The sequence below is a fragment of the Homo sapiens genome, chromosome 7 (assembly GCF_000001405.40).
Source record: "Homo sapiens chromosome 7, GRCh38.p14 Primary Assembly".
Taxonomy (NCBI): Eukaryota; Metazoa; Chordata; class Mammalia; order Primates; family Hominidae; genus Homo; species Homo sapiens.
This window is the reverse complement of record NC_000007.14, coordinates 107,533,816-107,556,037: the sequence shown is the minus strand read 5'-3', so window position 1 is coordinate 107,556,037 and position 22,222 is coordinate 107,533,816. Positions and strand designations below refer to the sequence as shown.

The 22,222-nt window shown below is 38.9% G+C and overlaps 1 protein-coding gene across 10 annotated transcripts in view; it reads left to right on the top strand.

The window, feature by feature from the left end:
- COG5 (component of oligomeric golgi complex 5) overlaps positions 1-22,222 on the top strand; it is a 362,549-nt gene that overhangs the window by 7,883 nt on the left and 332,444 nt on the right. For 9 of the 10 annotated variants that reach the window (NM_001379515.1, NM_001379511.1, NM_001379512.1 and 6 more), the window contains exons 3-5: positions 1,696-1,753; positions 7,706-7,760; positions 7,858-7,927. The exons of the other annotated variant lie outside the window; for it this stretch is intronic. In NM_001379515.1, coding sequence (NP_001366444.1) covers positions 1,696-1,753; positions 7,706-7,760; positions 7,858-7,927 — 183 coding nt within the window. The remainder of the gene's footprint in view (positions 1-1,695; positions 1,754-7,705; positions 7,761-7,857; positions 7,928-22,222) is intronic. 10 annotated transcript variants of the gene reach the window in all.

Sequence of the window (22,222 nt, the reverse complement as noted above, 5' to 3'; positions counted from 1 at the left end):
CTCTCCTTTTTTTTTTTTTTCTTTGAGACAGAGTCTTGCTCTGTCACCCAGGCTGGTGTATAAGTGGCACGATCTTGCTCACTGCAACCTCTGCCTCCCGGGTTCAAATGATTCTTGTGCCTCAGCCTCCTGAGTAGCTGAGATTACAGGTGTGCACCACCACACGTAGCTAATTTTTTTGTATTTTTAGTAGAGACAGGATTTCACCATGTTGGCCAGGCTGGTCTCAAACTCCTGACCTCAAATGATCCACCCACCTCGGTCTCCCAAAGTGCTGGGATTACAGGTGTGAGCCACCGTGCCCAGCCTAGCTTTCCTCTCTCTTGTCTTCCACAACTCTTGGAAAAATCATTTAATTGGTTGCAAGGGAGTCCATGAAACTATAGTTTTAGGCTTTTTAACCTTACCAAAGTATTACTAGTGATAAAGGAGAATAGATAATTTTTAAAAAGTTAGTCTTGTTAAGATGGACATATTGATGACCGTATCAGTAGGCTGGGAAAAATTCAGACATCTTCTGGCAACCTTACGAATAAAAGACCGAGGTGACCAAGAGTAATACTTTGAGTAGATATGATAGAAAGAAACTTGACAGAATGACAGTGATATCTGAAACAAGACAAAGTGGAGGATTTAGGGGTTCCAGTCGTTGGTGATTAAGAACTTCAGTCAGCAGACTAGACATGAAACTAAGTATTCATTGGAATAAAAGGCACACAATAATAAGGATTCCTGCATTATTCTAAAGATTTGCATGATTTTGTGATGTTTCTAGGAATGTCTTGCATGTCGCCTTTAGTAACCTTGGTTTTTTTGTTCTGGCCATCTGCAGTGCCCTAATTTTCATAAAAGTATCAAACATCTGTAGGGAAAAGGATTTGCTGTGGGTATGTGACACTGGGAAACTGGAAGCAGAGAGATGTTCAGGTATAGGTGAGCACTGAATGCTGTATCTTTCCAGAGTAGGATGTAGCCTTGGTGGTGCTGAATCAAATTCAAGAACAAAGAGAACCTGATGTTTGAAAATGTTCTTTAAAGGGAAAACATAATAATGGTGTGGCAATAATGAGCTGTTTTTTACATTTTTTGGCACAACTCCACTTGTACATCTCTTTAAGATAGCAAGGGGCTTGTCTGAGTGTTTGTGTTCCCCTAACATTCATATGTTGAAACTTAATCTCCAATATGATAGTATTAAGAGCTCGGGGCTCTTACTAGGGTTTAGTGCAGGGCTCTTAATACTATCATATCATATTGGAGAGGCCCGAGGAAGACTGTTTGCCCCTTCCACCATGTGAAGATAGATACAAGGTACCATCTGTAAGGAATGGGTTCTCACCAGATGCTGAATTTGCCAATGCCTTGATGCTGGACTTCCCAAACCCCAGAACTGTGAGCAATAAATTTCTTCTGTTTGTAAATTACTCAGTCTAAGGTATTTTGTGTTTGTAGTCCAAACAGACTAAGACAGGGCTAAGAAAAGGCTGTAACTCCTCTTGCTCTGTGTTGAACTGTAAATGTATGTGTGTTCCCGCTTACAACTCATCTCAGACACACCTTAAAAACCTGTGGTTTTTTCTTTTGTATTTGTATTTGCCTCGTTTCTACACCAAGAGAGACTGTCCATTCTACATTGTGGTTACAAGGAAGAATACCTAACAGAGCAAAAGCTAATCATTTATTTTTGATTTTCAGGTTGTTGCAAGACATGAAGATTTACTGGCACAAGCAACTGGGATTGAGTCGTTGGAAGGTATATTTCTAATAACTGCTAGAGATTATGTAGAGCTAGACCAGGGATTGGCAAGCTTTGGCAAGCTACTTTGGATGGCAAGTATTTTAGACTTTGCCAGCCATACAGTCTCTGTTGCAACTACTAAACTCTGCCATTGTAGAGTGAAAGTAGGCAGATAATATGAAAACAAATGTGTGTGGCTATGTTTCAGTAAGACTTTAGTGAAACTTTGCTGGCCCCTGAGCTAAATGATCTGGGTTCAAATCCTTGTTTTACTGCTTACTAGGTGTTTGACTTTGAGCAAGTTAGTTAACCCTTTTCTGCCTCAGTTTTCTTATTTGTAAAACAGGAGTATAATGTGTACTAACACAGCATTGTTCTGAGGATTAAATGAATTAGCAAGATACTTAGAACAATGCCTGCACATATTTAGTGCACCTGTAAGTGTTAGTTAATTAAAACAATAAAAACATCAACAATACCAGAGTGACTAGTAGTGGAAGAAGGCATGAATTTTTTTTCTTATTTTTGCCTTTCTTGGAGCCTTTTTTGCAACTCTTTTTAATGAAAATATAGTCAAGTAATAATTGGATTTTTATTTTTACAAATCTGCTTATTTTTGTTTGACTAAATCTTTTATGAATTTTTCATTCCCTCTTGATTAAATTAAACTACATCTCATAAATATGAAATGTTACTATTGTGTTTTACATTATTACTTGTGATTACTATTATTAATCATTGTACATCAGAAGAAAGGTAAGGGGTTTTTCTCGATGTTGATCAAATTCTTAAGGAGAGAGGATATTGTTTTCTGTGATGCAGTATTCTTTAATGCTTCCCCCAGTATTTCTCATGTACTCAAAGATACTAACTTATTCTCAGCATGTACAATATTTCTAAGATACCCTGATGAAGAACTTAGTATTTTTGGAAATAATAGTTTGTTATTTGAAATCTGGGATACATATCTGACTAGGTTCTTAGGAAGATTAGGAAGCTCTAAGTACCGATTGACTTAGTACTGGAAATTAATTACTATTATTAGTCATTTCAACTTTTATTTTAGATCCGGGGGGGTATATGTGTAGGTTTGTACCTGAGAATATTACATAATGCTGAGGTTTGGGGTACAAATGATCCTGTCACCCAGGTAGTGTGCATAGGACCCAACAGTTAGGTACTCCCTCCTCTAGTAGTCCCTATTGTCTGTTGTTGTCATCTTCAGGTCTATGAGTACCCAATGTTTAGCTCCCACTTATAAGTGAGACTGTGCAGTATTTGATTTTTCTCTTCCTGCCTTAATTTGCTTAGGATAATCACCTTCAGTTCTATCCATATTGCTATATAGGACATAGTTTCATTCTTTTTTTATGGCTGTGTAGTATCCATGGTATATATGTACCATGTTTCTTTAATTCACTGTTGTTGGGCACCTAGGTTGATTCTATGTCTTTGTTATTGTGAACAGTGCTGTGATGAACATACAAGTGCATGTGTCTTTATGGTGGAACAATTTATTTTCTTTTGAATATATATCCAGTAACAGGATTGCTGGGTCAAATGGTAGTTCTGAGTTATTTGAGAAATCGCCAAACTGCTTTCCACAGTGGCTGTACCTTCCCACCAAAAGCATATAAGCATTCCCTTTTCTCAACAGCCTCACCAGCATCTGTTGTTTTTTGACTTTTTAATAATAGTCATTCTGAATGGTGTGAGATGGTATCTCATTGTGGTTTTGATTTGCATTTCTCTGATGATTGGTGATGTTGAGCATTTTTTTTTCATGTGTGTTGCCTGCATGTATGCCTTCTTTTGAGAAATGTCTCTTTATGTCTTTTGCCCACTTTTTAATGGAGTTGTGTTTTTGCTTGTTGAATTAAGTTTCTTATAAATTCTGGATATTAGACCTTTGTCAGATGCATAGTTTGCAAACATTTTCACCCGTTCTGTAGGTTGTCTGTTTATTCTATTGATAGTTTCTTTGGCTGTGCAGAAGCTCACTAGTTTTAATTATGTTTTTAAATGTCATAATATTTTTATGCATTTTTGAGAGCATGTAATATTTTAATGGCAATCTTGAAAACATGCTAGTTTTTTATTAATAAGGATGGCATGGTAGTACATTGAGTGTGTATAGGTCTAGATGAATCACCGCAACAGAAATATTTCTCATTGTGGTTTTTAAATATGTGTTTTAGTTTATAATGTGCTTGTTTTTCCCAGAATGATGTTCAAAGATTAAAATATTTGAAATACACTGCTAGACTGAATTAGAATGATTATCTCTTGTGTGAGTGTGTAGAGTACAAAGGCTGGCTACTTTTTTCCTATGATTATCTCAGGATATTCACTAGATTATTTGAACATAAAAGATTGAAGTGTAGGCCAGGGTGCAGTGGCTCACGCCTATAATCCCAGCACTCTGGGAGGCCAAGGTGGGAGGTTCACTTGATCCCAGAGTTCAAGACCAGCCTGGGCAACATAATGAGACTCTATCTCTATAAAAAATAAAACATTAGCTTGGCGTGGTGGTGCATGTTTCTAGTCCCAGCTACTTGGGAGGCTGATGTAGGAGGATCGCTTGAGCCAAGGAGGTTGAGGCTGCAGTGAGCTGTGATTGTGTCCCTGCCCTCCAGCCTGGGTGACAGAGCAAGACCCTAGACCCTGTCTCAAAAAATAAATAAAAAACTTTAAATGTGAATTGGTTAGCATTCATTTTAGCATGATGTGTCTAGATGTTATTTTGAGATGCTGAAAAGTAAGTGTGGTGTGTATACATATTAGAAAAATTGAATATTATTCTAGCTTCTACTTCATCTGCTTTATTCTCCTAAATATGTAAAATTTTTTTAGCATGTAAGTAGTTTGGAGGTATGTTTAAGCCTATTTTATTTAAAAATGTTCTTTTTAAAAATATTCTTCCAAATATTACTTTTGAGAATTTGCTAGGTTTCAGAAAGCTATAGCAATAGAGTTTTTGTTTTCATGGAATTTTGAGGAATATTTATTAAGCTTCTTTTTGTCAAAAAGAGGTAGCCTCCCATCCTGGCTAACATGGTGAAACCCCGTGTCTACTAAAAATACAAAAAATTAGCCAGGTGTGGTGGTGGGTGCCTGTAGTCCCAGCTACTTGGGAGGCTGAGGCAGGAGAATGGCGTGAACCCCGGAGGTGGAGCTTGCAGTGAGCCGAGATCATGCCACTACACTCCAGCCTGGGCGACAGAGCGAGACTCCATCTCAAAACAAACAAACAAAAAACAAAGGTAGCCTCATTGATTTATTTGTTCATTCAGGCAATCAAATAGTAATTAATAACTTGTTAAGTACTAGGCACTTGTGAATGATAGACAAAGTCACTGTCCTTTTGGAACTATGTTCTGGTCCTGGAGGTAGATAAAAAAAAAAAAACAAAGTACAAGTAGAAAACAGGGCTGGGCATGGTGGATCATGCTTGTAACCCCAGCTACTTGGAATGCTGAGGCATGAGAATTGCTTGAACCTGGGAGGCAGAGGTTGCGGTGAGCCGAGATCATGCCAGTGCACCCCAGCCTGGGCAATAGAGTGAGACTGTATCTCAGAAAACAGAAAGAAAAATTTTATTTGTAAATTCTATAGAGAAAATAAAACAGGTGATGGGGATGGATGAAGGAGAGGGAAGGCCTTTTTGAGAAGATGACGTTTGAGCCAAGATCTAATGATGAGGAGGAGCCATCATGTGAAGATTTGAGGAGAAGACTGAACAATAAATGGGAAAGCAGGAATTAATTTGGCATGTTTGAGGGGCAGAAAGTAGCCCAGAATAGCTGATGTTTAGTGAAGGAGGGAGAGGATCGTAGATAAGGTTCTTGGGAAGGAATTTGGATTTAATTCTAAATGCAATGGTAAACCATTGGAAGAGTTTAATCAGGTTATTGTATGATGAGATTAATACTCGGAATAGTTTACTCTGATAGCTCTGTAGAAAAAGGCAATGGTGGAATCAGGGACACTGGTTTGGAAGCTATTAGAATAGTTGAAGTTGATGGTGCATTGGATTAGAGTGGTGGCAGATGGAGTAAAATGTAGGCAAAGCTGATAGGGTTTGTTGATGGCAGATGAAAGAGCTGATGGAAAAAAGTCACCGTGAGTTATTCCTAGGATTTTAGTCTCAAAAATTGGATAGATGATGGTATGAGTAATGGAGATGACATAGCCTGGAGAGAAGTGTGATTTTTGATAGGTTGGGGGGTAGGGCATAAACTGTCTTGGGTATCTTACATTTGATGTAACAGTACAGGGGAAGAGAGAGAAAGAGGACAGAGAGATAGGGAATGAGAACATAGGCAGATATATAAAGAAAATCTTTTTACATAGATGTATGTGTATACGTCTGTATATGTGTGTGTGTGTATAAAATCAGTATTTTATTGAACAGATACTATTTAAAACTTTGGGACTGAATGAAATTCCTGAAAGATTGTAGATGGAGAAGAGCAGATGGCTGAGGATCACGTCTTGGGGTACTCCAGCACATGTAGAGGTCTGACAGAGGAGAAGTGGGAACAACTAATGAGATAATAGGAGACCCAGGAAGTGTGATGATTTGAAAGCCTAGACAAGGCCAGGCGTGGTGGCTCACGCCTGTAATCCCAGCACTTTCGGAGGCCAAGGTGGGTGGATCACGAGGTCAGGAGGTCGAGACCATCCTGGCTAACATGGTGAAACCCCATCTCTACTAAAAATACAAAAAAAAAAAAAAAAATTAGCTGGGCGTGGTGGTGGGCGCCTGTAATCCCAGCCACTCGGGAGGCTGAGGCTGGAGAATGGCGTGAACCCGGGAGGCGGAGCATGCAGTGAGGGGGGATCAAGCCACTGCACTCCAGCCTGGGCGACAGAGCGAGACTCTGTCTCAAAAAAAGAAAGCCTAGACAAAAAATGTTTTAGAAAGGGAGTAGTCAACTGCTGTGAATTTCTGAGAGCTGGAACAAGGTTAAGACAGAACCAACAATAGAATTCGGCAACTCATAGATTTCTGGTGACCTTGGTAACATCTGTTTTGGTGGAGTATTGGTGGAAACCCATTGAGACTGGGTTGTGGAGAGAATATGATGTAAGAAAATGGTTATAAGTAATGGCAGTGTATTCTTGGCAGTGTATGGTGAATACACCACAAAACCAGCAGAAAAGTGGGAATCTTTGGTTCAGAGAGGATTCTATTGAACTGAACTCTGTTATTGTATACTTGTATGCTGATAGGAATGTTTATTTGTTCCAATATTATTTCATTTAAAATATGACCACATGTCTATACTTAAATTTAGATATTAATAGAATACTATGCTTTCAAAACAACTATGCCAGTTGGATATAGAAACTGAATTTTAAAGAATGGCATTCAAAATAATTAAATATCTGTACTAATTGAAAGCCTAAATAATAAAATTTATGCTTGATCTTCCTGGAAATATTTTTCCAATTTGTGAAAATTTCCTCATGTTGTAAGCCTAGAGAGTTGTAGACTAAGCTGTGGACTATAGTTTTAATATAGGAGTGATGGGGCAAAGGGGATATCATGGAGGATCAGTCATACTTTTTTGGTAATGTGTTAAAATATACATAACATAAAATTTATTGTTTTTAGCATTTTAAAACATACAATTCAGTGGCATTAAGTACATTTACAGTGTTGTGCAACCATCCTCAGTATCTAGGTCCATAACTTTTCCATCACCCCAGATGGAAACCCCATATCCATTAAGCAGTCAGTTCCCATTCCCTGTCAGGCTTCTTTTGTGAGGCAAAGATTGGAGGGGGAGACCAGTTACAGGCTTTTACAGCAGTGTGGGTAAAAGATACTGGTTGCTTGGATTAGGATGGTGACAAAAAAAGTTAAAATTATATATGCATGTATTTTCTTTTAATTTAACTATTTACCCAGTTGGATGCCCTGTAAATTTGTAAAGCCAATGTAAACTTATGTTTTCCTAGGTGTTCTTCAGATGATGCAGACGAGAATTGGGGCTTTACAGGGAGCTGTTGATAGGTACTGTTCTTAATTTTATAAATAAATGGAATGGGAATGTTTTTATCCATTGATATTCTGAAAATGATTTTATTCTCACTCCTCTCTTTTCCTGTAGGATAAAAGCAAAAATTGTTGAACCATACAATAAGATAGTTGCCCGGACTGCACAACTAGCAAGACTTCAGGTAGTTTCTTACTTTTATTTCTTTATACTTTATTATTCATTTTGTTTTCATAAGTGGACAAAATTTAAGAGTATGAGTTTGGAAGAAGTAAGAGAATGGGAACAGAAGGTAAGAGAAAAGGAGAAAAAAATACTAAAAAGCCTTAAGATGTCTAGCTCAAAAAATACAAATCTAAAGCAAATTCTTTTCACTGTCATTGCAGTGTATAATTGTTTATTAACTTATATCTTCTTCAATTTCTTTCATCAATGTTTTATAGCTTTCAATGTATAGATGCTTCACCTCCTTGGTTAAATTTATTTCTAACTTTTTTTTTTTGTAGCTATTGTAAATGGGAAATGGGATTGTTTTTCTGATTATTTCTTTGGATAGTTCATTGTTAGTGTATAGAAATGCTACTGATTTTTGTATGTTAATTTTGTATCCTCTGACTTTACTGTATGCATTTATTCTAGCACTCTTTTGGTGGAGTCTTTAGGGTCCTTTATCTAGTTTTCTGTCTAAAGGATCATGCTGTCTGCAGACAGGGATAATTTTACTTCCCTTCAGATTTGGATGCCTTTTATTTCTCACTTGCCTAATGGCTCTGGCCAGGACTTCCAGTGGCTATGTTGATGAATAGTAGTGGTGAGAGTGTGCATCCTTGTTTTGTTCCTGATCTTAGAGGAAAAGCTTTCAACTTTTCACTGTTGATTATGATGTTAGTTGTGGGCTGGTCGTATATGGCCTCTATTGCGTTGAGGTACGTTCCTTCTATAGAGTTTTTTTTGAGTTTTTAACACGATGTGTTGTTGAATTTTACCAAGTGCCTTTTCTGCATCTATCAAAATGATCATATGATTTTTGTCTTTCATTCTGTTAGTGTGGTATATCATTTATTGATTTGCACATGTTGAACTATCCCTGCACCCCAGAGATAAATCTCACTTGATCATGGTGAATGATTCTTCTAATGTGCTACTGAATTCGATTGGCTAGTATTTTGTTGAGGATTTTGCATCTGTGTTGATCAGGAATATTGACCTGTAATTTTCTTTTCCTGTAGTGTCTTTGTCATTAACAGAAGGGTAATATTGGCCTAATAAAATGAGTTTGGAAATACTTTTCCATCTTTGATTTTTTTGGGGAGAGTTTTAGAAGGATTGGTATTAGTTTTTCTTTAAATGTATGGTAGAATTCAACAGTAAAGCCATCAAGTCCTGGGCTTTTCTTTGTTAGGAGACTTTTTATTACTGATTTAATCTCTGTACTCACTATTGATCTGTTAAGATTTTGTTTCTTTATGATTCAATTTTTGTAAGTTGTATATGTCTAGAAATGTATCAGTTTCTTCTAAGTTATCCAGTTTGTTGGCATATATTTGTTCATAGTAGTTTCTTATAATTCTTTATATTTTTGTAATATCAGTTGTAATGTTTCTTTTTTCATTTCTGGTTTTGAGATTTCTTTTTTTTCTTAGTCTAGCTAAAGTTTTATTGATTTGATTTATCTATTCAAAACACCAACTCTTATAGCAAGGCATGGTGACACGCCTGTAGTCCCAGATACTCGGGAGGCTGAGGCAGAAGAATTGCTTGAGCCTGGGAGGTGGAAGTTGCAGCGAGCCAAGATTGCACCATTGTACTGGAGCCTGGACAAAAGAGCGAGACCTTGTCTCAAAAAAAAAAAAAAAAAACAAAAAACCAAAACACAACTCTTGGTTTTATTAATCTTTATTGTTTTCCTAGTCTGTATTTAATTTATTTCTGCCCTGATCTTTATTATTTTCTTCCTTCTACTAACTTTGGGCTTTGTTTGTTCTTTTTCTAGTTCTTGAGGTTTAATACTAGGTTATTTATTTGAAATCTTTTTTGATGTAGACATTTATTGCTGTAAACTTTCGTCTTAGAACTGCTTTTGCTGCATCCCATAACTTTCGGTATGTTGTGTCATTTGTCTCAAGACATTTTAAAACTTCTCTTTTAATTTCTTTTTTGATCCATTGGTTGCTCATAAGCATGTTGTTTATTTTTTTTGAGAAATTTTTGGTGAATTTTTCGAAATCCATCCTTTATTGATTTCTAGTTTAATACCATTGTGGTTGGAAAAGATATTTGATATGATCTCAGTCTTCTTAAGTTTGTTAAGCCTTATTTTCTGGTCTAACATATGATCTATCCTGAAAAAAGTTCCATGTGCATTTGAGAAGAATGTGTATTCCGCTGCTGTTGGACGGAGTGTTCTGTATTTGTTCAGTTTATTTGTTTTAGAGTGTAGTTAAAGTCTGTTGTTTCAAAATTGATTTGTTGGTTTTTTTCTTTCTTTTCTTTTCTTTTTTTTTTTTTTTTTTTTGAGATGGAGTCTCACTCTCTCACCCAGGGTGGAGTGCAATGGCCTGATCTCTGCTCACTGCAACCTCCACCTCCCAGGTTCAAGCCATTCTTCTGCCTCAGCCTCCCGAGTAGCTGGGATTACAGGTGCCCGCCACCACGCCTGGCTAATTTTTGTATTTTTGGTAGAGATGGCATTTCGCCTTCTTGGCCAGGCTGGTCTCGAACTCCTGACCTCGGGTGATCTGCCTGCCTTGGCCTCCCCACGTGCTAGGATTACAAGTGTGAGCCACTGCACCCAGCCTATTTTCTTTCAGCACTTTGAATAGATCATCCCTGTCTCTCCTGGCTTATAAGATTTCTACTGAGAAATCTGTTCATAGCCATCTTGGGATTCCTTTGTATGTGATATGCTTCTTTTCTCTTGTTGCTTTCAAGATCCTCTCTGTTTTTGATTTTTGACAATTTGATTGTAATATATCTTGGGGTAGTCTTGTTTACATTGAACCTGATTGGAGATCTTTGAGTTTCCTATACCTGGATATTTTTTACATTCCACAGATTTGGGGAATTTTTGTTATTATTTTTTAAAATAAACTTTCTTCTCTCTCTGCTCCTTCTGGGACACCCATAACATATAAATTGGTTTGCTTGATGGCATCCCGTAATTCTCAAAGGCTTTCTTTACTCTTTTTCTTTTTTCTTTTTGTTCCTCTGACTGGATCATTTCAAATAACCCCTTTTCAAGCACACTGATTCTTTTATGTGATTGAGTCTACTGTTGAAGCTCTCTTTGGAATTTTTTTAGTTCAGTCATTGTGTTCTTTAGTTCCAGAATTTCAGTTTGGTTCATTCTTATGGTTTCTGTTTCTTTGTTGAACTTCTCATTTTGTTTGTTTATTGTTTTCCTGATTTTGTGTACTTGTCTAGTTGTATTGTCTTGTAGTTCATGGAGTTTTTAAAAGATGATTATTTTGAATTGCTTGTTAGGCAGCTCATAAACCTCAATATCTTTAATGTTTGTTCCTTTGGTGGTGTTATGTTTCCCTGATTGTGATTCTTGTTGCCTTGTATTGGTGCCTGCACATTTGAAGAAGTAGGAACTTACTCCACTCTTTGCAGACTGGCTTTGGCTGGCAAAGTTCTTCACCAATTAGCCTGACCAGAGATCCTAGGCAGGCTTTCTGGTGTGGTCTGTGGGCAGGCTTACTGCTGGTGTCTTCAGGCAGGCTGTTGTGGTACCTAGGTTAGCAGGTGCACAGGTCTGGTGCTTGGGTCCATGAGGTTTGGTCTGCAGACTATATTTACTGGGGCAAATGTGGGTCATGAGTTTGCTGGAGCAGACTTAGATCCAGGGTTCACAGTGCCAAGCTGGCCCCTTGTGGAGTGGACACGTTGACTATTAGGGCCCTAGTCCACAAGAGCTGGTCTGAAGCCTGGTCCCTTGGGAGCTGACCTGGCACTTGGACCGGCCTTTAGCTTGAATCTGCAGGAGCCAACCAGTTGCTGGCACCTGGGACCTTGGGGATGGGCCTGGAGCCTGAGTCCACAATGCCTGGCTTTCACTGGCACCTGGGACCATGGGGGTGGGCCTGGAGTCTGTGAGTCAGGCCTGGTCTTGGGTTTACCAGGGTTAGCCTGGAGCTTGGGTTTGCAAGGGTGGTCCTGGAGCCTTGGTCTGCTGAAATAAGCCTGGACTCTGGGTCCACTGAAGGCTGCAGTCTGTGGGTGCTTGCTTTGTGCCTGGAGCCATGAGGGTCTTCCTAGAGGCTGGGTGAGTGAGTGCTGGCCTGGAGGCTGGGTCTGCAAGGGCTTGCCTGGAGACTGGGCCACTGAGGCAGGTGTGAGTCATCAGGTCTTGGGGGCAGGCCTGGCACTGGGTTCTGCTGTGATGAGCCTGGACCCTGGGTTTGCCAGAGGAGGCCAGGTTCTGCTGGGATGGACCTGGACCCTGGCTCTGCCAGAGGAGCCTGAACTTTGTGTCTGTTGGAGTGTGGGGCCACAGGGGCTGACTTGGAATGTGGACCCGTAGGGCAGGCTTGGAGCCTGTGTCCTTGTGTGCTGGCCTGGTGTCTGAGGCCACAGGTGCCAACCTGATGCGGGGCAGACCTGGTGTTTGGGGCCACTTGGGCTGGTCTGGAGCATGAGTATTCAGGGGCTGGCCTGGTGCTGGAAGTCTGAGTGCTAACCTGGCACTAGGGCTAGCCTAACATCTTGGGCTATGCAGGGTTGCCTGGTGCTGGGTTGGGCCTGGAGCCTGAGTTGGGATTAGCCTGAAGCCGAGGGCTGGTCTGGGGCCTGGGGTCACTGGGACCAGCCTGGTATTGGAGTGGGCCAGGAGATGTAGTCTGGAAGTACTGGCCTGGAGTCGGGCGGGGGCAGCCTGCCCAACACAATTTTAATGGGGCAGGCCTAGTGTTGGGGCTGAGGCAAAGTCCAGTGCTCAATTCCTTCTCTTTTCTCTCCTCAACGAGCATCTGTCTCCTTGCTAGCTGGCTGGTGTTGGGGGACGCAGGTAATGTAATACTGTCCTTCCTACTCTCTTCAATGTGCCTCTTTTTATTTCTGTGCTGTATTCACGTGCTGTAATGTCTTACCTGGTTTCTTTAACTTTTGTGAAGATGTTTTTGTGTATGGATAGTGGTTCAAATTAATGTGTCTGCAAGCTGGAGTCCTGGAAAGTCTTCCTCTGCCATCTTACTAATGTCACTCATAAACATATCACATTGATTTTTTTTAACTAAAAATTATGCTTTAATACCCTGTTTTTTGGAAAGTATTATCCTTTTTTGAATTCATCTATATTGCTTTTCCCTTTTTTTTTTTTTTTGAGACAGAGTTGTGCTCTGTTGCCTAGGCTGGAATGCAATGGAGCGATCTTGGCTCACTGCAGCCTCCGCCTCCCAGGTTCAAGGATTCTCCTGCCTTAGCTTCCCAAGTAGCTGGGATTACAGGCACCTGCCACCACATTTGGCTATTTTTTTGTTGTGTTTTTAGTAGAGACAGAGTTCACCATGTTGGCCAAGCTGGTCTCGAACTCCTGACCTCAAGTGATCCACCTGCCTCGGCCTCCCAAAGTGCTGGGATTACAGGCGTGAGCCACCATGCCTGGCCTTGCTTGTTTTGTTTCATTTTTATTGCTGTAGAATATGTCATTATATGAATATTCTGCTTATGGAATTTGGATTGTTTCCAGATTGGGACCATTATGAGTAATATGGCTGTGAAAACTTTTTTACAAATATATGTTGGCTCATGCTAATACCCCTTTGTGTAAGTTATATCCTGGGAGTGAGATTTCTGGGTTATAGGGTTTCTGATTTTCAACTTTATTAGATAATGCCAAACTATTTTACCAAATGGTTATACCACATATGCTATCAGTATATGAGAGTTCCTTTTAGTTTGTATCCTTGTCAACACTTAGTGTTGTCAAACTTGTTAGTTTTTGCTAATATTTTAGGTGTGTGGTGGTATCTTGTTGTGGTTTTGTTTTTCTAAGAGCTAATTACTAAGGAGATTGAACCTCTTGTAAGTCATCTATTATGTGTGTTTCAGATATTCCTCTGCCTATCCATTTTTTTCTCCTTCTCGCTCTTGTCTGTTGTTGGAGAGAAGTTAAATTTATCTAATTTTTCTTTTATGGTTAGTTCTCTTTTATGAAAAATTCTCACAAGATAACTTTCTCTACCCTGAAGCTATGAAGATATTGTATATTGCCTTCAAAAGCACGTATTGTTTTGCCTCATATGTTTAGATCTATAATCTACCTGAAATTGCTTGTAAATTTACTAATCTTTTTAATTAAGTATGTAATCTGCTGTTAATCCCATCCTGTGTGTTTTTATAGTTTTTTTTTTTTTTTCTTTTTTGAGATGGAGTCTCACTCTGTTGCCCAGGCTGGAGTGCAGTGGCACCATCTCGGCTCACTGCAACCGCGCCTCCTGGCTTCAAGCAATTCTTCTGCCTCAGCCTCCTGAGTAGCTGGGAGTACAGGTGCCTGCCACCATGCCCAGCTAATTTTTGTATTTTTAGTAGAGACAGGGTTTCAACATATTGGCCAGGCTGGTCTCGAACTTCTGACCTCGTGATCCGCACGCCTCAGCCTCCCAAAGTGCTGGGATTACAGGTGTGAGCCACCATCCCCGGCCTATAGTTTTCATCTCTAGTTTATATTTGTGTCTTTTTATATCTTCTCTTTCTGTTATGACATTTATATTTCAATTTCATTTATATAAATACACACACGCATAAATACATATATATATATATATATATTTTTTTTTTTTTTTTTTTTTTTTTTTTGAGACAGGGTCTCACTCTGTTGCCCAGGCTGGAGTGCAGTGGCACGATCTCAACCCACTGCAATCTCTTCCTCCCAGGCCCAAGCTATCCTCCCATCTCAGCCTCCTGAGTAGCTGAGACTATGGGCATGCACCACCACACCCAGCCAATTTTTGTATTTTTTGTAGAGACCGGGTTCTGTCCTGCTGCTCAGGTTGGTCTCGAACTCCTGAGGTCAAGCATTCCACCTGTATTGGCCTCCCAAAGTGCTGGAATTACAAGTATGAGCCACTGTGTCCGGCTGACATTCATGTTTTCATTTACCTTCTTGAACATATACATGTTTATAAATTTTTTTTTTTTTTTCAAGACAGAGTCCCGCTCTGTTGCCCAGGCTGGGGTGCAGTGGCAGGATCTTGGCTCACTGCAACCTCCGCCTCCTGGGTTCAAGTGATTCTCCTGCCTAAACCTCCTGAGTAGCTGGGATTACAGGCATGTGCCACAACACCTGGCTAATTTTTGTATTTTGAGTAGAGATGGGGTTTTACCATATTGGCCAGGCTGGTCTTGAACTCTTGACCTCAGGTGATCCGCCTGCCTCAGCCTCCCAAAGTGCTGGGATTATAGGCATGAGCCACCGTGCCCGGCCTATAAAATATATTTTAACATTTAATTCTTTATTATTTCTAGGTTTGTTTTTGTTGATTGACTTTTCTTCTTGTTTCTTGTTATGGGTTTTATGTGTTTTGCTTCTTTACATACCTGGTAATTTTTTATTGGATATTAGAAATGTGTATTTTATGTTTAGGGTTCCTAGATTATTTAAAATTTCTTTTAAATAATGTTGGACTTTTTTCTGGTTCACACTTAAGTTACTTGGAATCAGTTTGATCTTTTTTTTTTTATTTAATTTTAATTTTTATTTATTTATTTATTTTTTGAGACAGGGCCTTGCCCTGTCACTTGGGCTGGAGTATAGTGGGGCAGTCTTGACCCACTGTAACCTCTAAGTGCTGGGCTCAAGCAATCCTCCTGCCCCAGCCTCCCAAGTAGCTGGGACTAAAGGCACACACTACCATGCCCAGCTAATTTTTTTTTTTTTTTTATTGTAGAGATGGGAGTCTCACCATGTTGCCTAGGCTGATTTCAAACTCCTGGCCTCAAGTGATACTCCTACCTGGCCTCCCAAAATGCTGGGATTGCAGGCATGAGCCACCATTAATCTTTTTGAGATTTAGTTTTAAATCTTTGTTAGTACAGGTCCAGAACAGCCTTTAGCCTAGGGCTAGTTTAGCCCTGTTTACTATTAGGTCTTTCTACTGTTGTTTCAGTGTTTCTTTTCCTGTGCTTCCTCTCACACATGCACAGATTGGTACTCAGAAGACTGGAAGCTATTTTTCTGCTTATCTGCACAACCTCTGTTTTTGCAGCTTTTCTCCAATTCTCTGCCCATAAACACTAGCTTTTTTGGCTTTCTTGAAATGTAATCTCTACTTCCCAACTTCAGAGAGACTGTCATGCTCTGTTTCCCTTGCCTTCCCTTTGCTGTGGCCTGAAAATTGTCTCCCAGTGGTAATCTGAGACAATTGTTAAGCTCATTTTCTTGTTTCTCTCAAAGATCACAGACCTGTGTTTTCTGTTATCCAATTATTGTCCAATTATTCATTCCTGTTGTTCTAAAATTATTTCGTGTATTTTGTTCAATTTTCTAGTTGTTTAAAATGGAAAAGTAAGTCTGACCCTATTCCATCATTGTTAGAAGTCACACTCATTATTAAAAATTGAGTTATAAGTTACATACCATAAAATAATCACTTTAACATGTACAGTTTAGGGGTTTTTACTATATTCACAAGATTGCATCTTGTGAATACAATATCTAATTATACTATAATATTATCTAATGCCAGAATATTTTCATTACCCAAAAAAGAAACTCTATGCCCATTAGCAGTTACTCCCTCTATCCACTTCTCTACGCCAAGCTCTCAACTAATCTGCACTAATCTGCAGTCTTCCTTTTTGGATTTCCCTATTCAGGACATTTCATGGAAATTGATCATTCATTATGTAGTATTTGCCTTCTTAATGTAATGTTTTCAAGGTTCATCCATATTGTAGCATATGTCAGTACAGTAAGTTCTTATTTAATGTCATTGATAGGTTCTTGGAAACTGCAACTTTAAGTAAAAGAACATACAGCAGGTCCTTGAATAACATGTCATTTCATTATAACACTGAGGAGGAAAAAACTGGGTTTCATTATACGTTGCTTTGTTGTTGTTGTTTTTTGAGACAGGGTCTTGCTCTGTCATCCAGGCTGGAGTGCAGCCTCTTGAGTAGCTGAGACAACAGGCACGCACCACCATGCCCAGCTAATTTTTTTTTAAATTTTAATTTTTTTTAGACAGTGTCTCTCACTATGTTGCCCAGGCTTGTCTCAAACTTCTGGACTCAAGTGATCCATCTTCCTCAGCCTCCCAAAGTGCTGGGATTACAGGAGTGAGCCGCCTGGTCCATTGTTTTCACTTAAAGTCAAAAGAACCAGTTGATGATGTTTAATGAGGACTTAGGTACTTCTTTACTTATATGGTCAAATAATATATCATTTTATGAATATATCACATTTTGTTTATCCATTCAATTTGTTTATCCTTTCATCAGTTGATGAATATTTAGGTTGTTTCTACTTTTTAACTATTTTGAGTAGACTGCTAAGAACAAACGTTGCATAAATAATATTTGTGTGTGCTTTTTTTTTTTTCAATTCTTGGGTATATACCTGAGAGCATATTATGCTAGGTCATATGCTAACTCTATGTTTAACATTTTGAGGAATGCCAAACTATTTCCAAGGCAACTGGACTGTTTTCCATTATTACCAACAATGTATGAAGATTCTAATTTCTGTACTTTTTTTTAATACTGCCATCTTATTGAAGTGGCATCGTTGTCTTGAGTAAATAGCTGAGTTTTGTTGTCTTACAGCCACACAAAACTAGGACGCAGACACACAAATAGTGATGTTCAGAGTGGAAGTTTAATAGGCGAAAGAAAGAGAAGAGCTCTCTCTGCTGCAGAGAGGGGTCCTGGAGAACTGGGTTGCTGCTTTTATTGTGAAATGCAGTTGAGTTTTATAGATGAGCTTGAGGAGGCAGTGTCTAATTTACATAGGGCATGAAAGATTGGTCAGACCAGGTGTGCTATTTGCCTAAGGTGCAAAAAACTAGTTAGGGCTAGGTGTGCCACTTGCATAGCATGTGAAAAAGCTGGCCGCCCTGCCCTAATCTTTTATTATGCAGATGAATTCTCTGGCTGGCTGGTGCTGTGTTGCCTGCTTCTTTACTGTACATGTGGTTACAAAGAAAAGCAAAGATGGAGCCTCCATGTTGAACATACCTGGCTTCCAGGTAGCCCTTTTCTATTGACACAGCTGCTGGCATTCACCTGTTCAATTTCCAGCTTGCTTATCTATGTCTGTAGCTCGATTTTTCAGGCTGCTCTTTGTCAGAAAAGAAATGATTTGGGAGCTGCTTTTTGTTAAAAGGGAAATTCTGCCAAGGACTCTGTTGCCCTTATTGTCTGCCTAAATAATTTCTATCTCCTGTATCATTATTGGGTATGAAGTAGTATCTCATTGTCATTTTGATTTGCATTTTCCTAATGGCTAATGATATTGAGCATCTTCTGTGGTGCCTTTTGGCCATTTATGTATCTTCCTTGGAGACATGTCTATTCAAATAATCCTTTGCTCTTTTTTTTTTCTTTCTTTTTTTTTTAAATTATACTTTAAGTTCTGGGATACATTTGCAGAATGTGCAGGTTTGTTACATAGGTATACATGTGCCATGGTGGTTTGCTGCACCCATCAACCCATTATCTACATTAGATATTTCTTCTAATGCTATCCCTCCCCCTTGGCCCCACCCCCTGACAGGCCCTGGTGTGTGATATTCCCCTCCCTGTGTCCATGTATTCATTGTTCAGCTCCCACTGATGAGTGAGAATATGCAGCGTTTGGTTTTCTCTTCCTGTGTTAGTTTGCTGAGAATGATGGTTTCCAGCTTCATCTTTGTCCCTGCAAAGGACATGAGCTCATTCTTTTTTATGGCTGCATAGTATTCCGTGGTGTATATGTGCCACATTTTCTTTATCCAGTCTAACGTTGATGGACATCTGGGTTGGTTCCAAGTCTTTGCCATTGTGAACAGTGTTGCAGTAAACATACGTGTGTGTGTATCTTTATAGTAGAATGATTTATAATCCTTTGGGTATAGAATGATTTATAATCCTTTGGGTATATACCCTGTAATGGGATTGCTGGTCAAATGGTATTTCTTGTTCTAGATTCTTGAGAAATAGCCTCACAATGGCTGAACTAATTTACACTCCCACCAACAGTGTAAAGTGTATAAGGAAGGGCTCCAGTTTCAGTTTTCTGCATACAGCTAGCCAGTTTTCCCAGCACCATTTATTAAATAGGGAATCCTTTCCCCATTGCTTGTTTTTGTCTGGTTTGTCAAAGATCAGATGGTTGTAGATATGTGGTGTTATTTCTGAGGCCTGTTCCATTGATCTATATTTCTATTCCATTGGTCTATGTATCTGTTTTGGTATCAGTACCATGCTGTTTTGGTTACTGTAGCCTTGCAGTATAGTTTGAAGTCAGGCAGTGTGATGCCTCTAGCTTTGTTCTTTTTGCTTAGGATTGCCTTGGCTATATGGGCTCTTTTTTGGTTCCATATGAAATTTAAAGTAGTTTTTTCTAATTCTGTGAAGAATGTCAATGGTAGCTTGATGGGAATAGTATTGAATCTATAAATTATTTTGGGCAGAATGGCCATTTTCATGATATTGATTCTTCCTATCCATGAGCATGGAATGTTTTTCCATTTGTTCGTGTCCTATCTTATTTTCTTGAGGAGTGGTTTGTAGTTCTCCTTGAAGAGGTCCTTCACATCTCTTGTAAGTTGTATTCCTAGGTATTTTATTCTCTTTGTAGAAATTGTGAATGGGAGATTGCTCATGATTTGGCTCTCTATTATTGGTGTATAGGAATGCTTGTGATTTTTGCACATTGATTTTGTATCCTGAGACTTCACTGAAGTTGCTTATCAGCTTAAGGAGTTTTTGGGCTGAGACGATGGAGTTTTCTATATATACAATCATGTCATCTGCAAACGGAAATAATTTGATTTCCTCTCTTCCTATTTGAATACCCTTTATTTCTTTCTCTTGCCTGATTGCCCTGGCCAGAACTTCCAATAATATGTTGAATAGGAGTGGTGAGAAGGGGCATCCTTGACTTGTGCCAGTTTTCAAAGGGAATGCTATGGGTTTACCATAAATAGCTCTCATTATTTTGAGATATGTTCCATCAATACCTAGTTTATTGAGTGTTTTTAGCATGAAGGGCTGTTGAATTTTGTGGCCTTTTCTGCATCTGTTGAGATAATCATGTGGTTTTTGTCATTGGTTCTGTTTATGTGATGGATTATGTTTATTGATTTGCATATGTTGAACCAGCCTTGCATCCCAGGGATTAAGCCGAGTTGATCATGGTGGATAGGCTTTTTAATGTGCTGCTGGATTCAGTTTGCCAGTATTTTATTGAGGATTTTCACATTGATGTTCATCAGGGATATTGGCCTGAAATTTTTTATGTTGTGTCTCTGCCAGATTTTGGTATCAGAGTGATGCTGACCTCATAAAATGAGTTAGGGAGGAGTCTCTCTTTTTCTATTGTTTAGAATAGTTTTAGAAGGAATGGTACCAGCTCCTCTTTGCAACACCTCTAGTAGAATTCAGCTGTTGATCTGTCTGGTCCTGGGCTATTTTTGGTTAGTAGGCTATTAGTGCTTCAATTTCAGAACTTGTTATTGGTCTATTCAGGGATTCAACTTCTATCTGGTTTAGTCTTGGGAGGGTGTATATGTCCAGGAATGTATCCATTTCTTCTGGATTTTCTGGTTTATTTGCATAGAGGTGTTTATGGTATTCTGTGATGGTAGTTTGTATTTCTGTGGGATCAGTGGTGATATCCCCTTTATCATTTTTGATTGTGTCTATTTGATTCTTCTCTTTTCTTCTGTGTTAGTCTGGCTAGTGGTTTATTTTGTTAGTCTTTTCAAAAAACTAGCTCCTGGATTCATTGATTTTTTTTGAAGGGTTTTTCATGTCTCTATCTCCTTCAGTTCTGCTCTTAGTTATTTCTTGTCTTCTGCTAGATTTTGCATTTGTTTGCTCTTGCTTCTCTAGTTCTTTTAATTGTGATGTTAGGGTGTCAATTTTAGATCTTTCCCACTTTCTCCTGTGGGCATTTAGTGCTATAAATTTCCCTCTAAACACTGATTTAGCTGTGTCCCAGAGATTCTGGTATGTTGTGTCTTTGTTCTCATTGGTTTCAAAGAACTGATTTATTTCTGCCTTAATTTTGTTATTTGCCCAGTAGTCATTCAGGATCAGGTTGTTCAGTTTCTATATAGTTGTGCGGTTTTGAGAGAATTTCTTAATCCTGAGTTTTAGTTTGGTTGCACTGTGGTCTGAGAGACTGTTGGTTATGATTTCCATTCTTTTACATTTCCTGAGGGGTGTTTTACTTCCAATTATGTGGCCAATTTTAGAATAAGTGCTGTGTGGTACTGAGAAGAATGTATATTCTGTTGATTTGGGGTGGAGAGTTCTGTAGATGTCTATTAGGTCTGCTTGGTCCAGAGCTGAGTTCAAGTCCTGAATATCCTTGTTAATTTTCTGTTTCGTTGATCTGACTAATATTGACATTGGGGTGTTAATGTCTCCCACTGTTACTGTCTGGGAGTCTAAATCTCTTTGTAGATCTCTAAGAACTTGGTTATGAATCTGGGTGGTCCTGTATTGCGTGCATATATATTTAGGATAGTTAGCTCTTCTTGTTGCATTGATCCCTTTACCATTATGTAATGGGCTTCTTTGTCTTTTTTGATCTTTGTTGGTTTAAAGTCTAAACAGTCAGAGACTAGGATTGCAACCCCCACTTTTTTTTTTTTTGCTTTCCATTTGCTTGGTAAATATTCACCCATCCCTTTATTTTCAGCCTATATGTGTCTTTACACATGAGATGGATCTCCTGAATTCATCACATGAATGGGTCTTAACTCTATCCAATTTGCCAGTCTGTGCCTTTTAATTGGAGCATTTAACCCATTTAAATTTAGGATTAATATTGTTATGTGTGAATTTTATCCTGTCATTATGATGCTAGCTTGTTATTTTGCTCATTAGTTGATGCAGATTCTTCATAGTGTTGATGGTCTTTAACTTTTGGTTTGTTTTTGCAGTGGCTGGTACCAGTTTTTCCTTTTGATATTTAGTGCTTCCTTCAGGAGCTCTTGTAAGGCAAGCCTGGTGGTGATAAAATCTCTCAGCATCTGCTTGTCTGTAAAGGATTTTATTTCTACTTTGCTTATGATGCTTAGTTTGGCTGGATATGAAATTCTGGGTTGAAAATTCTTTTCTTTAAGAATGTTAAGTATTGGCTGCTACTCTCTTCTGGCTTGTAGGGTTTCTACAGAGAGATCTGCTGTTAGTCTGATGGGCTTCCCTTTGTGGGTAACCTGACCTTTCTCTTGGGCTGCTCTTAACATTTTTTCTTTCATTTCAACCTTGGTGAATCTGATGATTATCTGTCTTGGGGTTGTTCTTCTTGAGGAGTATCTTAGTGGTC